We start from the raw sequence: 24,222 nt of genomic DNA, 5'->3' as shown, positions 1-24,222 counted from the left end.
GATGTGGGGGGCACTCACCAAGGGGCAGAGGTGGGCTTGGGTCCCACCCACTGGACTTGGAAACAGTGCCCTTTGTCCCCTTAAGCCTGTCTGGTGGCACTGATGGTGTTTGCACAGACCTGGGTGGGACAGAGGGCAAGCGTGGGCATCTTTGGTTCTTATTTGATGGCTTTAATTCTGTCCTGCTGATTTCAGGATTAATTTAACCACAGTATGCCTCCCCTCTATTTTGCCACTTTTATGTCCCACTTGGAGGTAGAAGCAAGACCATCCTTGCTTCTGTCTCTGGGGATAGTATTCTCATGGCTTGAAGATCCAGGCTGAACCTGAAAGTGGCTCCCAGGAGCTCTGCCATCATCTGTGGATCAAATTCAGGCTGTTGTGGCCTTTCACTAACGAGCTAGTGGGCTGGAAATTGAGAGCCTGAGGAAACTGAGGCCATTTGGCTGGTGATTAAAAATGAATTTCTTGGTTCCACTTATATGAGGTTCCTAGACTAGATAAATCATAAAAACAGAAAGTAGAGTGGTGTTGCCAGGGGCTGGGGGAAGGGAGGAATAGGAAGTTATTTGTTAATAGGGACAGAATTTCAGTTTTGCAAGATGAAAAAGTGCTGGAGATAGATCGTGGTGATAGCTGCACAACAACATGGATGTACTTAATGCTACTCAACTGCACACTTAAAAATGGTAAAATTTATGTCATATACATTTTATCATATACGATTATTTATCGATATGTCATATACGACTTTTTAAAAATAAAAAAGAAGCATCCCGTAGGACGGACAATTGATGTCTCTATATCAACGTGCGTAATAGCCCAGATGTTTGAGCCATGCCAGTGTCCGAGGGAAGTGTGAAGCACTAAGTGCTGTCGGCACAGCCAGAATTCCCCTCCGCTTGCCTTCCCAGCTCTTCCAAAGGCCAGATTCATGGCCCAGGGAGAAAAAGGGTCATGAATGTAGCCACTGCTCCCAAAGATGGGCACATCTAGGCTACGACAGGAAAACCACCTCCAACCCCGCTTGAGCCCTGAGAGGGTTGGGTCCTGCCGAGCCTCACCTGCAAACCCAGAGCCCTGATTTTTTCCCAGCCCTTAGATGCTCACTACAAAGACTAGTGTAGAGACTCCTGTCGGGAGGCTGCCTGAGCTGGGGAAGCTGTCACTCACTTGGCGTAGGCTTTTTCCAGCAAGGCGCTCCAGAACTCGTTGTGGTCGGCAGAGTGGAGGAAAACCAAGCGGTCCCTGAAGGTGGGCAGGCGGTCATCGATCACCACGTCCAGCCACTCACTGTGCTGCCAGAACTGTTGCCCAGGAAAAAGACAGAAATGATGCGAGTCAGCTACATGGGAGCTCCAGGCCCTGTTTGTAAATGTTGATCCTGTTGCTTTTTTCCCCTCTGACCAAGCTACCCATAGACAGCTTTGAAAATCACACACGGGTTCCAAGGTAGGGCACCTGGGCTTTGTCCACCAAGTTACAAGCTGAGTATTCCACCCAGCACTAACCATTGACATCAGCTGAAAGACTCAGGGTCAACCCATCAAAGCCGCAGGCGATGCAGGGGGCAGGACAGGACTCACAAGTAGACACTCTACGGTGCTCTGAATTAGTTTTTCTTCTTCACAAGAAAGTTGTTTTTGTGGGGGAGGGAGAATGGTAACGTGGGGTTTGGGTTTGCTGTTTTGTAGCCCAGTTCTCTGTTATTCTCTCCCATCCAGTTTCAGGGTCTAGCTCCAATTTTCCTTAACCTTGCTCCCTCCTCGCCCATAAGTGGAGCCCCTAAGACTGATTTGTTGGCCATTCACATAGGAGGCAGGTGGACTCAGTAATCCCTGCGTGCCAGTGAGGAGACATGAGTGGAGTGTGGGTGTGTGTGAATGCATGTGCGCACACATGTGTATACATGTGCATACAGGCAGGCATGACAGGTATGTGCACTGTTTGTGGTTTATTTATACATTGCATGTGTGAAAGCATGTGTTTGCTCACATGTGTGCATGTGTGTGCATGTATGTGTGCATGCATGTGTTTGCAAGTGCTTCTACACACGTGTGTGTTTGAGCACATGTATGCATGTGTATGAGCTTGTGTGTGGTCTGCTGGGAACAGGAAGGGAGGTTGGAACGAGTCAAGGACCATGGTAGTTTCTCTGTGTATCCTGCAGTGACCCACCTCCTACCCGTTCCTTCTGGTTCAGTTGGCCTGAGAGCGATCCTAAGGTAACCTCTAAGAGTAAAAAGAAAAGGGTTGAAAGAGGAGGGTAGGCACAGTGGTTTTGGGAGCCATTTATTTACAGCTTTGCTGTGTCATCCTGAGCATCTTGCTGCATCAGTGATTCAATCCCAATCAGAAGAGTTGGCCACGATGTGGCTGAGGGTGTCTGTGTGTGTGTGTGTGTTTTAAGGAAGATTCTTGTCACCTGCTCCAGCTGGACCTCCCCTCCAGGGCTTCCCGCTTTTGGGGCTATCCACAGCTTCAGGTGGGACTGAGGCACAGTTGGGTTAGGTGTTTAAAGTTCGGGCCTGGGCCTTGGGGTTCCTGAGCAGGGGAGCAGTGGGGAGGAGCCTCAGGGCTGGCTTTCCTTGCAGAGGGGCTGGCTCAGGGGGCCTGTGAGTCAGGAGAGATTATCTGCCAGCCCAGAGAGCTCTGCTAACTTCCTAGCACGCACACCTGCACTGTGGCTGAGGAGTGGAAGAGGAGTGTGAAGGAGGTGGATTTATTTCCAAAGCTCTGCTTCCTAGAAGGCCAAGGAGGGGAGCGGGCGGAGTATTGTTATTGCGGGACTGACAGGCATCAACAGGGTCACTCCCCACCCCCACATGATCCCTGGCAGCACAAAAGGATGCTGGATCCAGAACTCCTGAGTTCTAGGTCTGGCTTGGCTACTTATTGTTTTGTGACCCTGGATCAACCACTTCCACTCCCTGGGACTCAGTGTCCTCGGGAGTTAATGAGAGGACTGGGTCAGGGGATTGCCAAGGCTCCTCCCAGCTGTGACATTCAAGGGACAAGAACACTGTTCCTTTTGGGAGCCCAAGAGGTGGTGGTTCTGGTTCTGGTTTAGAGGCAGTAGTTCTGCTGGTTCTGGTTCTGGTTTAGAGGCAGTAGTTCTGCTGGATTTTCTGAGCTTAACCACCCCCAACACTGCCACCCTGGTGTGTTTAAGAGGACTGGGGAAAGACCGGCTCCTGGGGGCGCCATCAAACCAAGACTGTGGTCTCAGCAGAAGTCACAGGATGGGAAGGGAGACAGCCAGGTGGTGGCAGGTCTGTGAGAGAGCAGGGGTAGAGTTTCCCTGGGACCCAAAGTGGCTCTGTCCCCAGCCGGCGCAGGAGGCCTGACCCCTGGGAATTGCATGCTCCCTGAGCTACATGTGACCTGCTCACTCTCTTTGCCTTTGAAACACTTCTGTGCTATTGGTGACAGGGCTTGAGAGTACCTCTGCTTATCAGATTGCAGGCTTCAGGGACAGAAGAAACGGGCTGGCCCTGAGTGGTGGCCTGTGAGTCAGGAGAAGGTGACACTGTCTGGGGTGGAAGGTCAAGGAATGCCTACTCGGTGCCTGGCTCTGTGCCGGCTCCTGTGTGTGATGCCATTTAGCTCTACGGGAAGCCTGCAGGGAACTGTCAGTCTCTCCTTTTTTCAGACGAGTGTAGAAAGGTTTAATGTCACTAAGAAAATTGTCTGAGGTCACCCACCTAAGTAAGAACAAGGGGCAAGTTTCAGTATCTGGTCGAACCCTATATAAGGACAGGGGTGGAGGAGAGACTGGAGGGATAGAAAGTGAGGTGAAGCAGCAGGAAACCATCTCCTGGGGGCAAGCCTCTCCTGATGTGCACCTCGGCTGAGGGTCTGCGGGTCACACGGGACTCCAGCAGATGTTGTCTGTATTTTTCTCAGTTTTTATTTTTTAAAATCCCTCAAGATCTCCAAATTTACAATTCTTCCATAAAGAGAACCTCTCTGTTTATGAGAAATCAACCAGTTTCCTGGAGGTATAATTGGTTTAGTCAATTTGTGCTTAAAGCACAAGAAATTCCAAATAATAAAACCCTTAACAGATGGACCTCCAGATTTGCCAAAACATCACTTATAGTTTTAAATGTATGCTCCATAAGGATTCACCGTGCAATGCCGTTAATGTTCTTCTGAGGCATTTAGCTGTTATTCCATGATAAAATGTGGCTTTAGCATGGTTTAGGACCATATGTCACACAGATCTGATGACATTTTTTTCTAGGGTTACCAGGCAGTGTGGAAATGCACCTGCCCTCATGCCGGGCCCCAGAGAGGTAAACCCACTGGCCCAGGGCTCCCTCTTACCTGGAAATGGAATATCCCGGCATAACCAGGGCCAAAGCTTTGGTCCTGGGGGATGACTCTGGCCAGTGCTTTTTGATTAAGCGTAAGGGAGGCGATGGCGGCTAATAGCCAGCAGTCTCCTGCAAAATGGAAGCCATAAATCACAATTTTCATTGCTATTTCACAGCAAATAGGAAAACTCTGTGTCAGAAGGGGATGTGGGGAGTTTCAGATGTGGCCACATCTTTTCTACCTGTTTAAAAACAGACAGGACACCAACAAATAACTCTCTCCTCCCCTTCTGCCTCCCTTGCCTGCTCTTCTCTGCCCGTCTATCATAAACAGCTGTTGCCTTCTTGGCACTGTTATAGGACATGCTTACTTGGGTTTCAGACATATGGCTGCCTGATGCATCAGCTCTGTGAATTCCAGCAACTCCCTTTCCAGAGGACCAAGACTGCATACATCAGTGTCAGCACGGGCTGGGCGAGCAGACATTTCATAGCTGCCACCCAAGTGGTTCGGCAGTACTTGGGAGGGTGGTTAGAAATCTCCCTGCAGCCCCAACCCAGACTCAGCTTAATTACAGATAATGGTATCTCCGTGGTGGCTCCATTTGCTTTAAATTATCTTGCATTTTCAAGATTTATTGACTGACCTACTGAACTTCCCAGCTGTGTCTTCATGTTAACACACATCTGGAGGAAAACTAAAAAGTGAAGTCAAACATCAAACATGATTTTATCTGTGCTATCTGTGCTGTTCCAGACTCCTGGAGGCATTCCTTTGCCCACACTGAGTGTGGGCTGTGTCTGGTGTGTGCCTCACAGTGTCTCAGATGCCGCCTGTGTAAGCAGATATCTGGGAGGATCCATTTATCCGAATCACCTTTATCCAGATTCACTTGTTTTCAGTAGACAACATCAACGTCATCAGAACCTAAAAGCCCATCACACTCAGCTTGGCAGTTTCTGAGTTCACATTTCTGGAAAGCACCGTATGTCACTGGGCTTGGGACATTGTAATATGGCCCTTTCTGGCTGTTTGACACAGGCAAGAGAGACTCGCCAGGGCTGAACATCGGGAAAGCTAATTCCGAATCGCCCTGGTTCTGGCTTTCTGAGAGGTGTCACCAGCAGAGTACAAGCCACCCCCAGCCTTAGCTGGAGCACAGAAGGATTGGTTTCTAATGCATCTGCTGGTCTTTGGGAGCCTCAGGTCAGCTTTGGGAGATGCTACTAGGAAGTGACATGGCTGGAACCTGCAGGATCGTTTGTTCAGCAAACTTTACCAAGTGCCTCTAGGGTGGCAGACCTTGTGCCACGCAGAAGATGCAAAGATAAGGAGAGACTTGGTGTCTGCTTTCAGCTTCAGGGCGGCCAGGCCAACAGGAGTCTAATAGAGTGACCTCTGCTGTGGGCTGACCTTTCCCAGCTCTCCTCCAAGTTTCAACTTTGCCCAGTTGAGGAAAATGAGTGTTTTCCGGCCTGAGAACTCAACACCTCACGTGTTTTCAGCCAGAAATGCTCTGAGCTTTTGGCGGGGAGATTGAGAAGCCAAAACAAGATTGCTTTTCTCTCTCTTGGGCCTGGGCAGATGGATGGGGCTGGCCACCCAGCTGTGCCTGGAAGAAGTGCCCTCTGTGGGTCAGCGTGTTGCTCGGCTATCTGGGTGGTGCAGAGCAGAGGGCACTATGGGAGGAGCAGGCTGGAGTGAAGTGGCACCATCTCGGCTCACTGCAGGGGGAACGCTGTGCCTCTTGGGTTCTCAGGGACCCCATACTGCAGTCGCTCTTGATCCAGCAATCCAACCTCCCTCTCGCCATGCTCCATCCCCTCACACTCACCCAGCTCCACCCCTACCCCCACCCCCTGCAGATAACAGCATGCCTTGATGCTGTTCCAAGTGTGTTCTAGTTTTTTTTTTTTTTTTGATAGAGATGTGGTCTTGCTATGTTGCCCAGGCTAGTCTAAAACTCCTGGGCTCAAGAGATCTTCCCACCTCCCCCTCCCAAAGCGCTGCGATTACAGGTGTGAGCACTCTACATGACCAGATGTTCTAGTTCTTATTGTGGGTGGCAACAGATCACGGCTGTTCATTTTCTTGTTATTCTTTATAACATATATATGCCATGTACAGTACTTTGGTGTAGTAAAAGTGTTACAAAATAATCTTTAGAATCAACCATCCACTAAGGTAAAATATAAGGTTGTAACTCCAAATATATGTTTATGCCAATGTGACAAACCAAAACTTTGAAAAACAAAGGAGCCAGTAGAATGATTTCCTATTGGATAGCAATGGAGGACTACGGGGTCGAGGGGAAGGGAGGCAGAGGAAGAGGGGGAGAGGTGGGCAGCGGCAGGGAGGATCTCCTGGAGAAGGACCACCTGAATGTAAACCTTTTGAAAAGTCTACATTGTATCTAGAATATGGCATACATGGGGGATTGGTTCCAGGACCCCTGTGTATACCAAAATCTGTGCATACTCAAGTCCCACAGTAAGCCCTGTGGAATCTGCCTATACCAAGTCAGCCCTCTGTATATGCGGGTTTCAAATCCTGGAATAGTATATTTTCTCCTTTCCTTCCTTCCTTCCTTCCTTCCTTCCTTCCTTCCTTCCTTCCTTCCTTCCTTCCATCCTCCCTCCCTCCCTTCCTCCCTCTCTCCCTTCCTTCTTTCCTTCCTTTTTTTCCTTTTTGTTTGTTTGAGACAGTGTCTTACTCTGTTGTCCAGGCTGGAGTGCAGTGGCATGATCTCAGCTCACTGCAGCCTCAACTTCCCAGGCTCAAGCAATCCTCCCATCTCAGCCTACCAAGTAGCTGGAACTATGGTCATGCACCACCAAGCCTGGCTAATTTTTCAATTTTAATTTTTAGTAGAGGCGAGCCCTCACTATGTTGCCCAGACTGGTCTTGAACTCCTCGGCTCAAGCGATTCTCCTGCCTCGGCCTCCCAAAGTGCTGGGATTACAAGTGTGAGCCATCACGCTCAGCCTGGAACACGGTATTTTCTGTCTGTGTTTGGTTGAAAAAAAATCCACTTAGAAGTGGTCCTGCACTGTTCAAACTCATGTTGTTAAAGGGTCAACTGTAATTCCGTCTATCATCCATCATCTATCTATACCCATCCATCCATGTATTTACCCACCTACCTTCCTATCATTATTTACTACCATCTATCTATTATTATATATTTATTTTGTATGGTCTATCAGTCAATCAATCAACCTATCAACCTATTTATCTATCTAATTATGCATCCGTTTTCTACCTATCATCTATTACTTATTATCTATGTTTCTATCTATCTATCCATTTGCTTCTCTCTCTCTCTCTCTCTCTCAATTGTCTCTCTGTCTAGCTAATTAACTAACATCAGTCTAGGTTTGTGACTTTGGATCTTGTGTTTAGGATAGCTCAGTTGCTCAGCATGGAGGTTCCAGCATGGCCTTTCTTAACCAATAGACCACAGTGACAACCTCAGCTAGAAATAAGTCAGGGTCCACACAAGCTTGCAGTGGTTTGTTCTCTAGGCTGATTTCACTGGTATTTTTTAAAAGAAAGTCTCTCGCTCTCTCACTTTCTCTGTCTTTCATAGATAGAACAAAGGTAAACCCAGCCCAGTTGGATTAAGTCCTAAAATGCAGGACCCAATTTGAGTGACTTGAGGTGCACTCAGGTTCATTGCAGGAGGGAGACTGGATTGCTGGGGAGCGGCTCCCCAGGGTGTGTATAATGGTTAGCAGTAAGGGCTCTGCTGCTGGAGTGTCTGGGTTCAAATCCTGATTGCCTGTCTACCACCTCTGTGACCTTGGACAAGTTACTTAGCCTTCCTCAGCCTCCATTTCCTCATCTGTGACGTTAGGAGGGTGGGTTGTGAAGATGGAATGAGGCAATGTGTGCTGGGGAGAGTACCTCGCAGGTGACTGAGTTCATGTGTGCAGGTGTTAGCTACTGTGGTGGTGTAGGAGAGCCCGACCAACGCTGCTGGGTGTCACTTTCCTCTGTAAACTCCGGGGCTGTGAGCCCCACATCACAGGCATGTCTGACTCTAGAGGAACGGAGGTGCAGGGGCTTGAGGCCACTGGACTCCATTCAGAGGGAGTGAGGAAGCAGAGGCCGAAGCAGTGTTGTTCCCCCAGCCCCGTGCCTCTTGGGTCCTCAGGGACCCCATGCTGCAGTTGCTTGCCTGTCCCAGTGACTCAACCTCCCTCTCGCCATGCTCCATCCACTTACACTCACCCAGCTCTCCCTGGCAGATATCAGTCCTGGTGGCCCCTCCAAGAATGAATTCTGGGTTTTTCACGATTTCCTGGAGGAATGAGAGTGTTATTAGGCTGAGGCCTGCCATGCTGCAAGCCACTATGAAAGGGTAGGCTCAGGGTCTCTCTGCTTTCTTGGGGCAGAGGGCTTTCCCTGTGCTTGATTCTTTTCCCTGAGGAGGGCCACGTGGATGTAAAAGGCTGCCACCTCTCTATGCTCTGGATAAGGCTGGGCTCATCTTTGGTAAATCTCCTCCGCCGGGGAGAGGTCCTGCCTCCTGAGCTGCACTCAGCACCAATCTCTGGCCAGAAACACAGGCCACACCCGGCCACAAAGCTGGACATCAGCCACACACTGAGGATTCCTGTGCTCACTCAGGCACTGGGCTAGGAGTCCAGGGCTATCCCAGCTGTGAGCTCTGTGACCTCTGTGGGCTTCAAGGAGCTGAGTAATGCATGTACCACAGGCTGGGGCCTTGGACTAAACATACTCCCTACCCACCCAGCTTCTCCATTTCTTTCTTTATATAATCCTTCCCCCACAAAGTGGATTCCAAATATATATAGGTTTAGAGACAGAATCTTGCTGTGTCACCCAGGCTGGAGTGCAGTGACATGATCATAGCTCACTACAGCCTTGACCTTCTGGGCTCAAGCAATCCTTCCACCTCAGCCTCCCAAGTAACTGGGACTACAGACGTGAGTCACCACGCCCAGCCACTTTTTAATTTTTTTTTTTTTTTTTTTGTGGAGATGGGGGTCTCGCTATGTTGCCCAGGCTGGTCTCAAACTCCTGGCCTCAAGTGATCCTCCCGCCTTGGATTCCCAAGGTATTGAGGTTACAGACACATGCCACCCTGCTCAGTGTTTCTTTTTACAGAGATGCGCTTAGGTAAAATTTCATGTATCTATACCATATAAAGAGAGATATGCACACATCTCTCATATTGTTTCACCGAAGTGCATTATATATATATTATTCTATATTACACATAAGCACATACACTATGTGTATTAATGTAATCATTAATACATATTAATATATACATATACAATATGGAGGGGTATTTATAAAACATGAACAAAAAAGTGTAGAAAGCAATCTTATGATATGCATATATTCTTCCACTCTTTGAGTTGCTGGGCTCCATTCCTGACATTGGACGACAACAAAGAGAGAGGGAAAGCCCCTGCCCTGGTGGAGCTGCCCTGGACGCGGAGGGCGGTGCTCTCGGAAGCCCCGCCCCTTCCCAGCCTCCTGCCCCGCCCCTCCCCCAGCCTGCCTCAGCCCTGGCCTCACCCACGGCGCCCACTGTGCCTGCAGCTGCCACCACCTCCCAGAAGCTGTTGTTTCGTTCAGGAGAGTTTTGCAAATTGCATTTGAGGAAGAGACAAACCATAAACCAGGAGAGAAAAGAGCGAGGATGGAGAGGGAAGGGGTGGGATGGGGCAAGGCTAGCTACAGCAGTCAGCAGGGGAGGCGTCTCTGGGGGAAGCAGAGGAGCACAGACCTAAACAAAGGGAGGGAGGGAGGGAGGGAGGGAGGAAGCCGGGCCGGTCTCGGGAGAGGTAACAGCCAATCCTGTGGCAGCGAGGCCCGTTCTGGCTCACCCTGCAGGGGTGGTGAGTTAACTGGGCCGGGGCCTGCAGAGGAGTGAAGGATTTTTCCCACCTCTTCCCACTTTTCCAGGCACCAGGACTGAGGAGGGGCCTGGGCTGGAGGTGGAAGGTTCCAGCAGTGTCTGGGCGGACGCCACGTGGGGAGCTCAAGCTGCGCCGCCTTCCCCGAGAGACCTCTGCTTTGAATTGTCTTCCTCAGGCTTCTCAGCACCCTGCTTCTCCTCTCATCTTGTGTCCCAAAGAATCAAAGGCAGGACAGAGATTTCTTTGAAGTCAAGGGGATTATCAGGACCAAGAGCAGAAGCTTCAAATGCTGGTGCTCTCTCTGCATTCCCCAGGATGTGACAACCTGGAGGAGTGACAGACACCAGGGGCGCCTGCCCAGGGAGAGCTATGTGTGGCATTAGTGTCTAAAATACTCAAGAAAGCTTGGCCAGGAGAATTTCTGAAGAACACGGGGTGTTTTTAGATGCGCCAAAACCCCAGGCCCGGCAGAAGTAAGGACCTCCCAAATGCTGGCCTGTCCTCTGCCAGGTCTCACACGTCTTTGCATTCCCACCCCCAGCTCCAGGTAGCTTTGGCGCCATTTCATTAAATGACTCTGATCTCCGTGGTGGCTGGAAAGGGAGTGAAGGTGGGGGGCAGCTGCTCAGTTCTGGGGTCCTGGCTTGGCTTGCCTGTGCGGACCCCTCTCATCTGTAGGAAGCACACTGCTCTTCTTCCTCCTCCACCTTGGCTAGCGCAGGAGTTTGCAGGTGGCTCTGAGCTGAGCCCAGAAGGACAATGCAAACCAGGACCATGTCAGTGGGCCTCAATAGAGTCCCAGGAATAGCCTGCCCCGCTCAGCAGTAGGGTTCAGGGTGGGCCATTTAACTTCTCACGGCTGCATCCTCATCTGTCACCAGCTTAGACATTCTGGGCTTGCTGCAGAATGTGCCTGCCCGAAGGGAAACCCAGGAGTCCCCCAAGCCCTCCCTGTCTTGATTGCCCAGCCCCTGCCAGGGGATAGCCCTGGCAAGCAATGCCCCCACTGCCAATGCTACTCACTCCTCAAGTGGACATAAAATGTACTCCAAAAGCCACAGATCCCTGCCCAGCAGGCTGTGCTAGCTCCTGGGGCAGGGCTGTTCCCGGATGCCCGCCTCCTTCCCATCCTCCCTGCCCCTCCCCTCCCCCAGCCTTCTGCAGGCCTGGCCCCGCCAACCGTACCAACTGTGCCTGCAGCTGCCACCGCCTCCCAGCTCCTATCTTGCAATTGGTTGTTTTGTTCAGGAGAGGTCTGTTTTTGTTTTTGTTTTAAACCAGATCGCACCCAATGAGGAGAAAAATACAAAAGGAAAAAACTCAGAAACTCTCCAAGTAAACACAAATTAGCCATCGGGTATAAATTGGGGAGGTGTCTGGATGTGTGACCGACTCCTCTGTGGGTCAGTGTTTCTGGGAATTGGTGTGCACACGTGCCAGTCACAGGGGGTTCTGCGGACGCATGTGTGGAAGGGGCAGCTAGGCGGTGGGCCTGGGTTAGATGCCTGGGAGTGGTGTGTATGCTGACGGCCCACATGCCCACATGTGCAAGGTGCCTGTGACTTGCCTTGTTGTGTGTGCCCAGGTGTGGTACACGTGTGTGCTTGTGCATGCTCCACATGTATGCTGGTTGCATGTGCACTTGGGAGCATTGTCTACGTGTGAGTGTCCTGCATGTGCGTGTCGATCCTGGATGTACATTTGTTCCTGTGAAATGTTGCTTGGGAGGCCATGAGGAAGGGGTTACCTGAAGCTACAGTCCTGTGATAGGACGATCAGAGGTGTCTCAATTGCAGGGGTCTTGACAAACCTGAAGTGAACCTAGACTGCTGCCTGAAGCCCCGAGGGAGGCACGCAGACCCCTCCCCCTCCCCCTCCCCTCCCCCACCCCACAGCCCTACCACCAGGTGGTTTTCCTGGAGCACTAAGGGCCAAGCACCCTGGAATGTTTGCTTTCAGGGACTGTTCTGTTTACCTTGTACATCATCGGGGCTCAGCCGAAGACACACTTTCCTCTACTAAGCACAGTGAATAATTCACAAAGGGAAAAGCCACCCTTCTTTCTTTCTTTCTTTCTTTCTTTCTTTCTTTCTTTCTTTCTTTCTTTCTTTCTTTCTTTCTTTCTTTCTTTCTCTTTCTTTCTTTCTTTCTTTCTTTGTTTCTTTCTTCTTTCTTTCTTTCTCTTCTTCCTTTCTTTTTTTCTATCTTTCTTTCTCTTTCTCTCCTTCCTTCCTTCTTTCCTTCCTTCCTCCCTTCCTCCCTTCCCTTCCTTCCCTTTCCCTCTCTCTCTTCCTCTCCTTCTCTCTTTTTCTCTTTCTTTCTCTCTTTCTTTTTCATTCATTCTGTCTTTCACATGGCCTTCCAGTGAAGAAAAGCCACATTTCCAGCAAGGTCTGGAGATGCCAGACGCTGCTGTTCATAGCTATGTGCCGATCCCTGTCATGTGCCCAGCACTGTGGAGGCCATGGGGCCTTTGGGGCTGTCCCAGAACAACTGACAACCCCTCCTGGGGGTCAGGGGAGCAGCACAGGGAACGGCAAGCTCACCGTGCAGGAGAGGCTGTGGTCACATGCCACGCTGTGCACAGGTCTGCCACAGGGGTTGTTCACATGGGCTAGAGGGGTGTGGGCACTTTCGGGGAGGTGTCCTGGATTTACACTGAGAATTGGTGGGGGGGAATTGCCTGGCCAAAAATAAATGGGTACAGGCAGACAAGGAGGGATGGACTGCATGGTGGCTGTTCCCCATCAGGCTGGGAGACCTCACCCGATACTCCCTCCTCCTCTTTCTGTGCACCCACTTCCACTCAGGTCCACAGTCCCTTGCATGAGACCTGGGGGTGATCTCACCTTCTCTCCAGGTTGAGCCTATCACCCTCTCTGCCTCCCAGCCCCTCCCAGCCAGTTCCCTGAGTCACCCTCAGTGCACTCCTTGCCCTGGGCTCCCTTGAGGGCAAGCCTGGCTGTCCACTGCCCTCCAATGTCCCCTTGGCTTTGTGCTCTGCCCACCCTCCCCAAGTACAGCTGTGTTTGACAAGAAGGTGGTGCTGAGGAGGAGGGCCGTCCAGCCCCACGGTCCCACGGGCTGCTGAGATGTGCACCGTGTAATGCTGAGTCCCACTGCAAATGATGCCCAAGCCACAGAGGTCTGCAGGGAACCTGGCAATGCTTGTGATTTCCCTATGGCCCGCTACCCCCCGGCTCCCTGCGACTCTATGCTGCAAGAAGAGTCTCCATGCTCATCCTCAGCCCTTTTGTTCCTGATTTTACAGAAATCTGTAAGATATGATGTAAAGCTTCTAACTCCCCTAAATAAGAAACAGATAGGGGTACGAGAATGAGGACCAGACCAAAGGGACAATCTTCAGTTGCAGACAAAGGAAAAGGCAGAACAGATTCTGAAAATGAGTCTGTGGGAACGACAGCAACACAGTAGACCTGGGTTAAGATCAATAAAGGGTCTGCCGTAGGTGGAGACAGTGGGATGAAGAAGGGACAGAGGGCTGGTACAGGGGCATGGGCTGGGTGGCAGGTCGGGGTGCATCTTGGCAGGGGCTTGTGTGTATCAAGGGCCCTGGCCTGTGGATGAAGGCCTCACCCAGCGTTTGGGGCAATGCCAGAGGAGATAATACTAAGGAAGACAGCCCCTTGGAGCAGAGATCTGGGACTCTAGAGTCGCTGGGCAGGCCTTGGTGGCCCTGGTCCCAGGAGGGGAGACTTCTGAAGGGGGAGACAAAGATGCCCTCCATGCTGGTTTGTGCGTCCAGCTTTTATCTTGGAGAATTCTAACTTTGACAAAAAGTAAGTGAGTTGTAGAGTACAGATTACACTTTAAACTAGATGATGTCAATATAGACTGCAAGGATGGGGGCCCTCCTAGAGTCAGGAGACGATGGTGTTAGGTTACAATGACAGCAGTAGAAATAACAAGGACCAGCACTGATTCTTTACACACCAGGCTCTTTGCTAAGTGCTCTACTCATGGTAACGCAGCTGACCCTCATGAGGACCCCATAAGTTGCATTATTGTCCCCATTTTAAGGAAGAGAAAAAGTGCTTCCAACCTTTTCATATCAAGTGCCTGTAGAGAACATGAGCATCTGTATGAAACCCTGGATCAAACAGAAAGAGCCGCTGCTTCTGGCCAGGGGCTCTGCTCACCAGGGGCCCAGGAAATCAATTTCTCTAACTCTATTTCCCAGGGCTCCTGACATCAACTGCAGGGAAATCTCTGCCCACAGTTAAAAATGCACCCACAGCCTGCAGCCTGGGCAGCTGCCCACGCGCCCATTTGTTCATGCGCCGAGGCCGGAAATAAGCCCAGGGAGACCTAATGGTCGTGGGCGGTGCCCCTCAGAGGGTCACTCTTTTATGTCTTGTAACTTCTGCTTTTTTAGTTTGGAAATGTCCTTTTTCTTACTTAGCAGAGCATGACCTACTAATCCTGTCTGTAAAGTGCAACCCCACGTGATCTGCCAGTGCCGTGACCTCACACTGCAATTGGCCATATGCAGAGAACCAAAAACAATCACAGCGTGGCTTCGGTGAGGAAGGTGCCTGGGAGCTTTCACCCCAACTCCGATAGGGCCACTGAATGCTCACTGTGATTTCCCCATGAACATGGCACCTTGTGGGATCAATTACCTGGCAGGTGAAGATCAAAGCACCTGTGTGCCTATGCATGCAGTCACCCACCCCCCACATACACGCCTATGCATATCCACACACATGTGCACACAGTCACACACATGCACATACACAGTCAAATTCCTACACACACAAGTGCGTGCACACACATACACCCCACACTGCCTACTGCAGGAAATAGCAATAAAACCCTTACCACTTCGGAAACACCCACTTAGGTTCACTTTGGCCCTGCCCCTGAAGAGCCCAGAAGTTTTGTGAATGTGCGTTAAAAAAAATTGTTTTTAATCATCAACATTATTTTAATGTTGGGAGATAGTGAGGAGGTAGTTATGATGAGTCCTTTGCTACTCATATGTAAGATGAGACTCAGAGCTAATAATCATTGTAATGATGATAATAATAGTATCAGTAATAGTAATAATGTGACAATAGCTGTAATGTACTGGAAACCTTCTGTGTGCTAGACATTGGCCTGCATTAGCCATTATTGTTCCCATTTTACAGGTGAGGAGACTGAGGCTCAGGGAAATGAAGTGATATGACTATATGCATGAGACAAATTGTCAGGATAAGACAGGCACTCAGGATCTCACTTGTAGGACCAGCATCCCTTGTACTGCCCCTCCTTGCCCAAAAGCAACCGGACCCCACAGGAGCCACTCCCAGGCCCGTACCCACCTGGAGGGAATGGAAGCCAGCCCAGCTGGCGCCGGGTCAGAGGTAGAGCCCTGACTAATCCAGCACCGCAAATATTGACATGGCGTCCCAGGCACAAGCTAGCACCTCTTGGGACCCAGTGACCAGCTGGTGCCTCTTGGGACGACACCTCCAGACTGTCAGAGGTGGGGCACTGTTCACCCTGATCTCTGGGAATGGGGGGTGCATGGTTCTCGGGAGAAGATTCCTGCTTCCCTTGTATTCCATCTGTCACCCGGTTGCTGAGACCTTGCTGAGCCAAACATCCATCCACACTGAGCACCCTCAGCTCTGGGCCAGAAGCCACAGAACACTGTGCATAACGTGATCTCAGTGTTACCACACACAGGGTGGGGGCCTGTCCTTGTGGATAAGGTTTTGATTCGTGCCTATCACCTGCTGACAAGACCCACTCTGACTCCAGGTCCTCAGCCTCGGTGGGAGTCAGACAGCTTGGAGCCGGGGAGCGGGTACAACCAGATGCCCCGGGTCCCCACCGCAGAGCATCCCAGGCCTGTACATTATTTTCTGCCTCCAAACTGCAAAGCTTTCCACGGTAGACTGGGATGATGCACCTCAGTTGCACTGAGCGTAGCCGGCCCCTCCCCAGCACCCCTGTTTCCACTTCCTGCGGGGGCTGCTGAACCTCGGCCTCATCTATGCTCCTTCCCCTGCTCGCCCCACTCACCCCTGGTCGTTTCCACACAAAGGGGATCTGCGGCCTCTCACTGTAGAACAGGGAGGAATTGCTGGCTGGGAAGTCTGCATCCTCAAACAGGGTGCCTCTCTGCAGGCACTCCTGCCTCATTTGCTCAAAGCTCTGGCCTGAGGAGTGGGTGATCCGGGCGTCCTTGGGAACCGGGTGTGCCTGAGGCCCTGGGGCCCGGTAGAGGTAAGGCATGGCTGCTCCCTGGAAGGCTGGCTTGGGTCCGGCAGTGGATGGAAAAGAAAGTGAAGAAGCGAGCTGTGTGTGCCGGTCAAGAAGGAACAGCTCAGAGGGCCACTGGGCTGAGTGGCCCTCACCTCCACCTATTTTCTGGGCACCTCCCTGTTAGACTGAGATGGGACACGCCCTGATGGAAAACAGCAGAGAGAGCCCTCTGCCCACTCTGCACTCCTGCAGACTCAGAGGCAGCTCTGGGGCCTGGCACATTCCACTCAGAGGCGGCACCTCTGCTTAGTGCGCTCAGGGGGCCTCATGGGAGAGAGAGGATTGCTTCAGAAGGAAAAGGAGCAAGAAACCCAACTGGTCCAGGAGGTGGCTTTACGGAGAAGTGCACGGTGTGGTCTTGAGTCCCATCTCCTGCATCAGAGAATGGCAGAGTTTTGTAGTCGGAAGGGAGGTTGGTGAATGAAAGCAGGATGCATTATGTGAACACAGCTGGCACAGCTCCTGCACAGGCAATCCCATAGTGATTCAGCACTGGGGTCAGCAAACCTTTTCTGTAAAGGCCCAGACCATGAATATTTTCAGCTTTGTGGGCCACGCAAAGTCTGTGCTGCAACTACTCAACTTTGCTGTTGTAGTGACAAAGCAGCCGTAGATGTGACACAGATGAATGGGTGTGGCTGTGTTCCAATAAAACTTTATTTACAAAGGCAGGTGGGGGTTAGATTTCATCCAACCTGACCCCTGATAGAGGAGAACTCACAGAGGACATCGGCTCTTCCTCTAGGGCACATGTGCCTCTTTCATTCTCTAGACATCATATTAATAAAGTTCCTTGTTGTTATAGTCCTACAAATAGGATCTCACGTCTGAGAAAAAACAAATGTTAGAGGATGGAGGTGGTTTGATAAATGTGTTTGCCCATAGAAATGATTATACAGGCTGGGTGTGGTGGCTCACACCTGTAATCCCAGCACTTTGGGAGGCCGAGGAGGGTTGATCACCCGAGGTCAGGAGATCAAGACCAGTCTGGCCAACATCATGAAACCCTGTCTCTACTAAAAATACAAAAAATTAGCCCGGTGTGGTGGCGGATGCTTGTAATCCCAGCTACTTGGGAGGCTGAGGCAGGAGAATCCCTTGAACCTGGGAGGTGGAGGTTGCAGTGAACTGAGGTCGTGCCACTGCCCTCTAGCCTGGGTGACAGAGAGAGACTCTGTCAAAAAAAAAAAAAAAAAAAAAAGAAAAAAGAGAGAGAGAGAGAAAGAAAAGAGAGAGAGAGAAGGAAAGAAGAAAAGAAATGATAAATACTGGAGGGGATAGATAGCCTAAATACCCCAACTCGATATCACACATTCTGCACATGTAACAAAATAGCACATGTACCCCATCAATACGTACAAATATTATGTATCAATAAAAATAAGTCAATAAAAGTATTAGTCACCACGTGAAAACTCTGATGTTCTAAGCACTTTATAATGATTTCTGTGTGATTCTCTAACTAGTCAAAGTTGAGGTTTGGAGACAAGGGGTCTTGAGTTAATGGGTACAGTTAAAAGGCCATGATGTGAATTTTTATATAAGCTCACAGTTCCCAGGAGTGTGCACTCAGTCTGACACACGTTCTGTCTAGTAGATCCTGCATATGGTTTTACAGGGGAGGTCTAGACATTAGAGTTGGGGATATTTGGGTTTTACTCTGCTATGGCCTGATTGCTTGTATTCCGCACCACCCCCCCGACCCCGCCAAAATTTGTATGTTGAACCCATACCCTGCAAGGTAATGGTATTAGAAAGTGGGGCCTCTAAGGGGTGATTAGGTCAGAAGAGTGGAGCCCTCATGAATGGGATTGGTGTCATTATGAAAGATTAGGTCACAGAGGGCCCCCTCCTCCCTTCCACCATGTGAGGACACAGGAACCAGAAAGTAGACCCTCACCAGGCATGGAATCTGCCAGTGCCTTGATCTTGGACTTCCAGCTTCCAGAACTGTGAGCAACACATTTCTGTTGTTTATAAGCCACCCTGTCTGTGCTGTTTTGTTATAGAAGCCTGAATGAACTAAGACAAATTCCCAGTTTTCCCTGGGGTGATCTTGGGCGAGTTATCCATGCTGTCTGTCCCTGCTTCCAAGCTGTGAATCAGGATAATCGGTGCTGCCTGCTAGAGGCATGGCGGGTTTGTGGAAGCAAAGCCACTTGCAAAGTCTGGCACATGGAGGGGATCAGGAGCTGCTGATTCCTCCCTTTCCCCTATCCTCTCTGCACCCCCTGCCACTCCCACAGATGCTGCTGAATTTCATGGTCTCCTTCTGAGCCTGACTTGCCTCAACTTGCAAGGCATCTCTTTTGTCTCTTTGTTTGCACAATGAAGGACTTTGGAACTGGGGTCCTCTGGCTGGGACCAGAGTGCAGTTCTGGCCAGTCCAAATGATTCTTGGCTAGAGATGATGGAGCTGCCCAGGAGTGTCCCATTGCCCACTGCCCTGGCAGACGGCTCTGTTTCGAAGTGATTAAGGAGGGCAACCTAGGGAGACAGGTGTGGCAATGTGAGGGCCATCCATTTCTGGTGACACCTCGGCAGGGAAATGATTACCAGCCCAGATCTCTGGGAGCATCCCCTTCAAATGCCCCAGCAACTGAGAAAGGACCTTGAAGTAAATTTCAGCACTGACCAGAACTGTAAAGGGTTTGCTCAGCACCAGACCCACTCCCAGCTTCAGGGATTTACGTTCTCATTCTCCTCCCGATACAAACACCTCTCCAGGCTGGGGTCTTGTCCTTCCACCTGGGACTTATCTATGTATTGGAAGAACCTGCCTTTTTCTTTAGAGTCTTAGTATAGTTGCTAGGTAATTGGAGAATTGCATCATCATTGTGAGTAAAACAAACATGCCTCAGAGTAGGAAACACACCAAAAAGGTTTAACAATCCTCCAGAACCACAGCTGGAATTCCTCCTGCCCCCTAACACTCTGGGACTCTGAGAATGTCTGCGGGAGGGAGTGCATTCTCAGGATTTACAGCCTCATCATTCTTCCTGCCCAATGTCTGCCCACAGAGCCCTGGGTCCATCTTTCCTGCAGAGCTCATGGCACCGGACTTCTCCATGACTTTGTCTTAGCGTCTAATCCTGCTCCCAGCTCAGCCCAGTGCAGGGCAGGAGCACGATGCACATTTGCTGAGTAAACATTGAACCAATGCCTCAAGAAAGCAGATGGCATTCTTGGGTGTCTTCATTTAGTTTTCCAAACCTTCACTTCTCAGGATGAACAATAGTTACAGAAACTGCAGCCATGCAATCTAAGGTCTACCAGGCCTTGCACACTTCCTCACCCACACTGGGAAATGCCCTGAGTGGCTCAGAGGGAAAGGGCTCTGAGCTTGGGCAGAGAATCATGTGCACTGTTTTTAATAAGCTCTGCCAGCTTGTCGCTAGCCTAGAGATGCAATCAGCTTTGAGCCAAGCGGGGGCCATGCATCATGTTAAGTGTATTTTCTTCTCTTTAGCAGAGCAATCTGCTGAAGTGATTTCTACATGAAATGAACCTGACCTGGCATCTGGGGCCTTCCTGGCCTCTCTTTTCTGTGCTGTTCTTTCTCTGTCTCCTCCACACTCAGGCCTGTGGCGAACTCCCTTTGTTTCTCTTCTTCTTGTTCATCTTGAAGGGCAGCAGGAGGTGAACATAGTGCCTGGGTGGCTCTGGGATGCCATGGGGCAAAACCCCAAGGACAAATGCTCAGAAGCTTCACATGGGTGCAGGGAGATGACCTCTAGGACCCCACCCGGTCCAGGCCTTACAGCAGGGCCTGGGTTTTGAGGGATATGCCAAACAGCCTGGATCCTGCAGAGGGATCTCAGCCCTATGATGGGCTGAGAGTGAGCCCACCCGGCTGCGACATTTGTAGCCCCTTGGCTTGCAGTGTGGAGGATGGGGTGGGCTGGCGAGGAGGGTGGAGAGTGGAGAGGCAGGGGACCTGCACAGGTGTCCAGGTGAGAGGGGCTGAGGCTAACTCCAGATGTAACCAGAGTGAAGGCAGGAAGGGACAGATTCTTCTAGAAGTACTGTCAGGGCGTTCTGCTGGGGTGCAAGGGTGGAGGTGTAAAGGTGGCGTCCTGCCTTCAGACTTGAGCAAATGGGTGATGGTGGTGACAGAAGGAGGAGAGGCAGACTTGGAAGAAAAGTTGAACACTTTGGGTATGTTAAGAGTAAGACGACTGCGTGCAATGGCTCACACCTGTAATCCCAGCACTTTGGGAGGCTGAGACAGATGGGTCACCTGAAGTCAGGAGTTCAAGACCAGCCTGGCCAACATGGTAAAACCTTGACTCTACTAAAAATACAAAAAATGAGTCAGGCGTGGTGGGGGTGCCTGTAATCCCAGCTACTTGGGAGGCTGAGGCAGGAGAATTGCTTGAACCCGGGAGTCAGAGGCTGCAGTGAGCCGAGATCGAGCCACGGCACTCCAGCCTGGGCGAGGAGCGAGACTCCATCTCAAAAAGAAAAAGTAAAACACCCCCCTACTTGCTGAAGGGAGTGTAAATTGGTGTCTCCTTTTTGGAGAACTATTTATGAATACCTCTCAGAGCTACCAATGCACCCACTCTGATCCAGCTGTTTCCCTTCTAGAAATTTATCTTTATCCTGATGATAGAGCCGCACCCCGAAAAGTGAAAGGTATACCAGCTTGCTCATTTCATGGTGGCATTGTTTACATTAAAAAAGGTTGGAAAGCACTTAGTGCCCTCTGTTGGGGGAATGGTAAAGAAAATTATGGTCCAGCTAATCATGAAGTGGAACAGTGTACAGCCATAAAACGGAACAAGGAAACTCTGCATACACTGATGTGGGAAGGTCCCTGGGATACAGTGTTCAACTGAAAAGTCAAAGTGGCCGGGTGCAGTGGCTCACGCCTGTAATCCCAGCACTTTGGGAGGCTAAGGCAGGCGGATCATGAGGTCAGGAGTTCAAGACCAGCCTTGCCAACATAGTGAAACCCTGTCTCTATTAGAAATACAGAAAATTAGCCAGGCATAGTGGTGGGCACCTGTAATCCCAGCTACTTGGGAGGCAGAGGTAGGAGAATTGCTTGAACCCGGGAGGTGGAGGTTGCAGTGAGCCGAGATGGTGCTACTGCACTCCAGCCTGGGTGACAGTGCGAGACTCTGTCTCAAAAAGAAAAAGAAAAAAGAAAATTCAAAGTGCAGAATGGCATGTAGAGTATGCCAGCATTTGTGGAGAAAGAAGGCAAAAAATATTTATTTATATCTGCATAAAAATTTCTCGGAAACTACACAAAGATCTACTCATAATAGTGGTTCTGTTTTCTGGGGGTAGGTGGAGTAGATGGGGGTAGAGGAATGTGGGGAGACTTTTCTATATGCCTTTTATATTTTTTTAGCTTTAACCCTATAGATTTACCTGGTTGAATTTTTTAAAATTTTATTTTAGAGTCGGAGTCTTGCTCTGTCACTCAGGCTGGAGTGCAGTGACATGATCATAGCTCACTGAAGGCTTGAACTCCTGGGCTCAAGAGATCCTCCTACCTCAGCCTCCCCAGTGGCTGGGACTACAGGTGTACACCACAACACTAGCCTTAACTGTTGTCGACTTTTAAAAGCCTAGTTTGAAACTTAAAGCCCACAATGATGTTTTGGCCTAGGTGGGCTCTGCCTTCCCTCCCCCGTGTATCTCTCCTCGCAAGATGTCTGTACATTTGCAAAGGAGCTTATCTGTCCTGAGGGCCACCCCCATTTCCTAGAAGATGAGAACTAGATCTTCACCCAGACCTTGCTTCCCTATCCATCCCCTCCCAAGGTCATTGGTAAGCCTGACATCAGGTGAGGGTCTCCCTTTCTTCATCCAGGGACTTGTCCATCCCTGGAACACTCCTAGTTTCACCCCTGTCCTAGTGGGCACTCATTCATGAACCATAACAAATCTTTTCTTCAGTGGGAATGAGCCGTGCTCAGGCATCACACCATAGGGTAAGAGCCATCTCCTGAAAGGCAACAGAGCACCCAGCCCAAATCTCCCCCACACTCGCTGCTCCACAGGGTGATGCCAGTCTTTGGCCTCAGCTGTCTGACTCAAGAGATCCCAGCTTGTAGGCGCATAGGCTCGTGGACGACCTGGTGGTTCCCCTGGTTTCCCAGGGCTGCACAAGCTGCCTATAGCTTCTCTCAGCTCTGGCCTTGCTTTCTGGCTTGATTGTGGAATATAGTTTCCTCCAAGGCCTAATCTCCCTAAGTAAGCTCTAGATCACTGCCCCTATGGCCTAAGGTGACACCGTTGAAATTGTACTTCCGTCCCTGAGAAGTAGTTTCACTCCTTAAACATTCATTGTTGAAGAATGATAAATATACCTGTCTGCCTTCTGCTAACTCTCTGGGATTTCTTTCCCTGGAGTTTGACCTCAGCCCAAGACGATTTCCTTTCTCCTTCTCATCTAGGAGCTGGAGGTTGATGCTATGCACAGATCTTAGGATGACTTGAATCACAGGTGCAGCAGGATAGGAATTTACTCTCCGCAGTTTAGGGCCCAAAAAAATCCTAATTTTTGAGACAGAGTCTCCTCTGTTGCCAGGCTAGAGTGCAGTGGTGCGATCTTGGCTCACCGTAACCCACCTCCCGGGTTCAAGCTATTCTCCTGCCTCAGCCTCCCAAGTAGCTAGGACTACAGGCGTGTGCCACCACATCCAGCTAATTTTTGTATTTTTAGTAGAGATGGGGTTTCACCATGTTGGCCAGGATGGTCTTGATCTCTTGACCTCATGATCCACTCACCTCAGCCTCCCAAAGTGCTGGGATTACAGGCGTGAGCCACCGCATCTGGCCAAAAATCCTAATTAAAAAAAATATTATCTCTTCTTGCCCTCTGGAGTCCCCAGTTACCACCTCGCACCAAAACTTGTATTTAGATTTTGTTGTGTGACACTCTTATTCATTTTAAAATGGTCTCTCTTACTCTATCTCTCTTCTTCTGTCTCTGTAAACTAGCAGTTACTTCAAAGTTCAAATATCCTGTAAGGTTTGTCAGAGGTGTTTGAGCCAGAATGTCTCCAACTTGAATAGGGGTTGGGTAAAATAAGGCTGAGACCTCCTGGCTGCTTTCCCAGGAGGTTAGGCGTTCTTAGTCACAGGATGACATAGGAGGTCGGCAGGTCACAAAGATACAGGTCACAAAGAACCCACTGATAAATAAAACAAGATGCAGTAAAGAAGCTGCCAAAACCCACTAAAACCAAGATGGCGATGAAAGTGACCTCTGTTCGTCCTCACTGCTCATTATACACTAATTATAATACATTAGCATACTAAAAGACACTCCCACCTGCATCATGACAGTTTACAAATGCCATGGCAATGTCAGGAAGTCATCCTCTATAGTCTAAAAAGGAGAGGAAGCCTTGTTTCAGGGAAGCCTCTGCCCCTTTCCTGGTAAACTCATGAATAATCCACCCTTTGTTTAGCATATGACCAAGAAATAACCCTAAGTATACTCAGTTGAGCAGCCCATACTGCTGCTCTACCTACGGAGTGGCCATTCTTTCTTTACGTCTTTATAAACTTGCTTTCGATCTATAGACTCGTCCTGAATTCTTTCTTGCGTGAGGTCCAAGAACCCTCTCCTGGGGTCTGGATCAGGACCCCTTTCCAGTAACAGGTCCACTTTTCCCCAAATAAGTGATCTTCCTCCTCCTTCCTCCTTCTGATAGTGGCATCTAGGTCAGGGTGAATCTTACCAAACCTGCCACTGGAGCAGGGA

General features: G+C 50.1%; 2 protein-coding genes across 11 annotated transcripts in view, besides 1 other annotated feature; one reads left to right on the top strand and one right to left on the bottom strand.

The window, feature by feature from the left end:
* CAPN9 (calpain 9) overlaps window positions 1–16,572 on the bottom strand; it is a 54,602-nt gene extending 38,030 nt beyond the window's left edge. For 7 of the 10 annotated variants that reach the window (XR_949127.2, NM_006615.3, XM_011544017.2 and 4 more), the window contains exons 1-4: window positions 16,251–16,572; window positions 8,554–8,623; window positions 4,330–4,448; window positions 1,174–1,307 (exon numbers count right to left, since the gene is read on the bottom strand). Coding sequence is in view for 8 of the 10 variants with exons in the window: in NM_006615.3 (NP_006606.1) it covers window positions 1,174–1,307; window positions 4,330–4,448; window positions 8,554–8,623; window positions 16,251–16,463 (536 nt within the window). In the remaining 2 variants the exon portion in view is untranslated. Of the gene's footprint in view, window positions 1–1,173; window positions 1,308–4,329; window positions 4,449–8,553; window positions 8,624–9,873; window positions 10,062–16,250 lie in introns of those variants that run through there. The other 3 variants (NM_001319676.2, XM_011544019.3, XM_047439808.1) reach the window with 2 other exon arrangements.
* Window positions 9,632–13,267: an enhancer, noted in NCBI's record as "VISTA enhancer hs2133". NCBI's record gives its function as "enhancer in: heart[7/9] | other[6/9]" and the evidence as "EXISTENCE:transgenic organism evidence [ECO:0001131][PMID:17130149]".
* AGT (angiotensinogen) overlaps window positions 18,377–24,222 on the top strand; it is a 43,061-nt gene continuing 37,215 nt past the window's right edge. The window contains exon 1 of the mRNA NM_001382817.3: window positions 18,377–18,445. The gene's annotated coding sequence lies outside the window, so the exon portion shown is untranslated. The remainder of the gene's footprint in view (window positions 18,446–24,222) is intronic.

Source organism: Homo sapiens, chromosome 1, assembly GCF_000001405.40.
Source record: "Homo sapiens chromosome 1, GRCh38.p14 Primary Assembly".
Taxonomy (NCBI): Eukaryota; Metazoa; Chordata; class Mammalia; order Primates; family Hominidae; genus Homo; species Homo sapiens.
The sequence above is the reverse complement of the archived record's forward strand: the minus strand, read 5'-3'. Positions and strand labels throughout refer to the sequence as shown.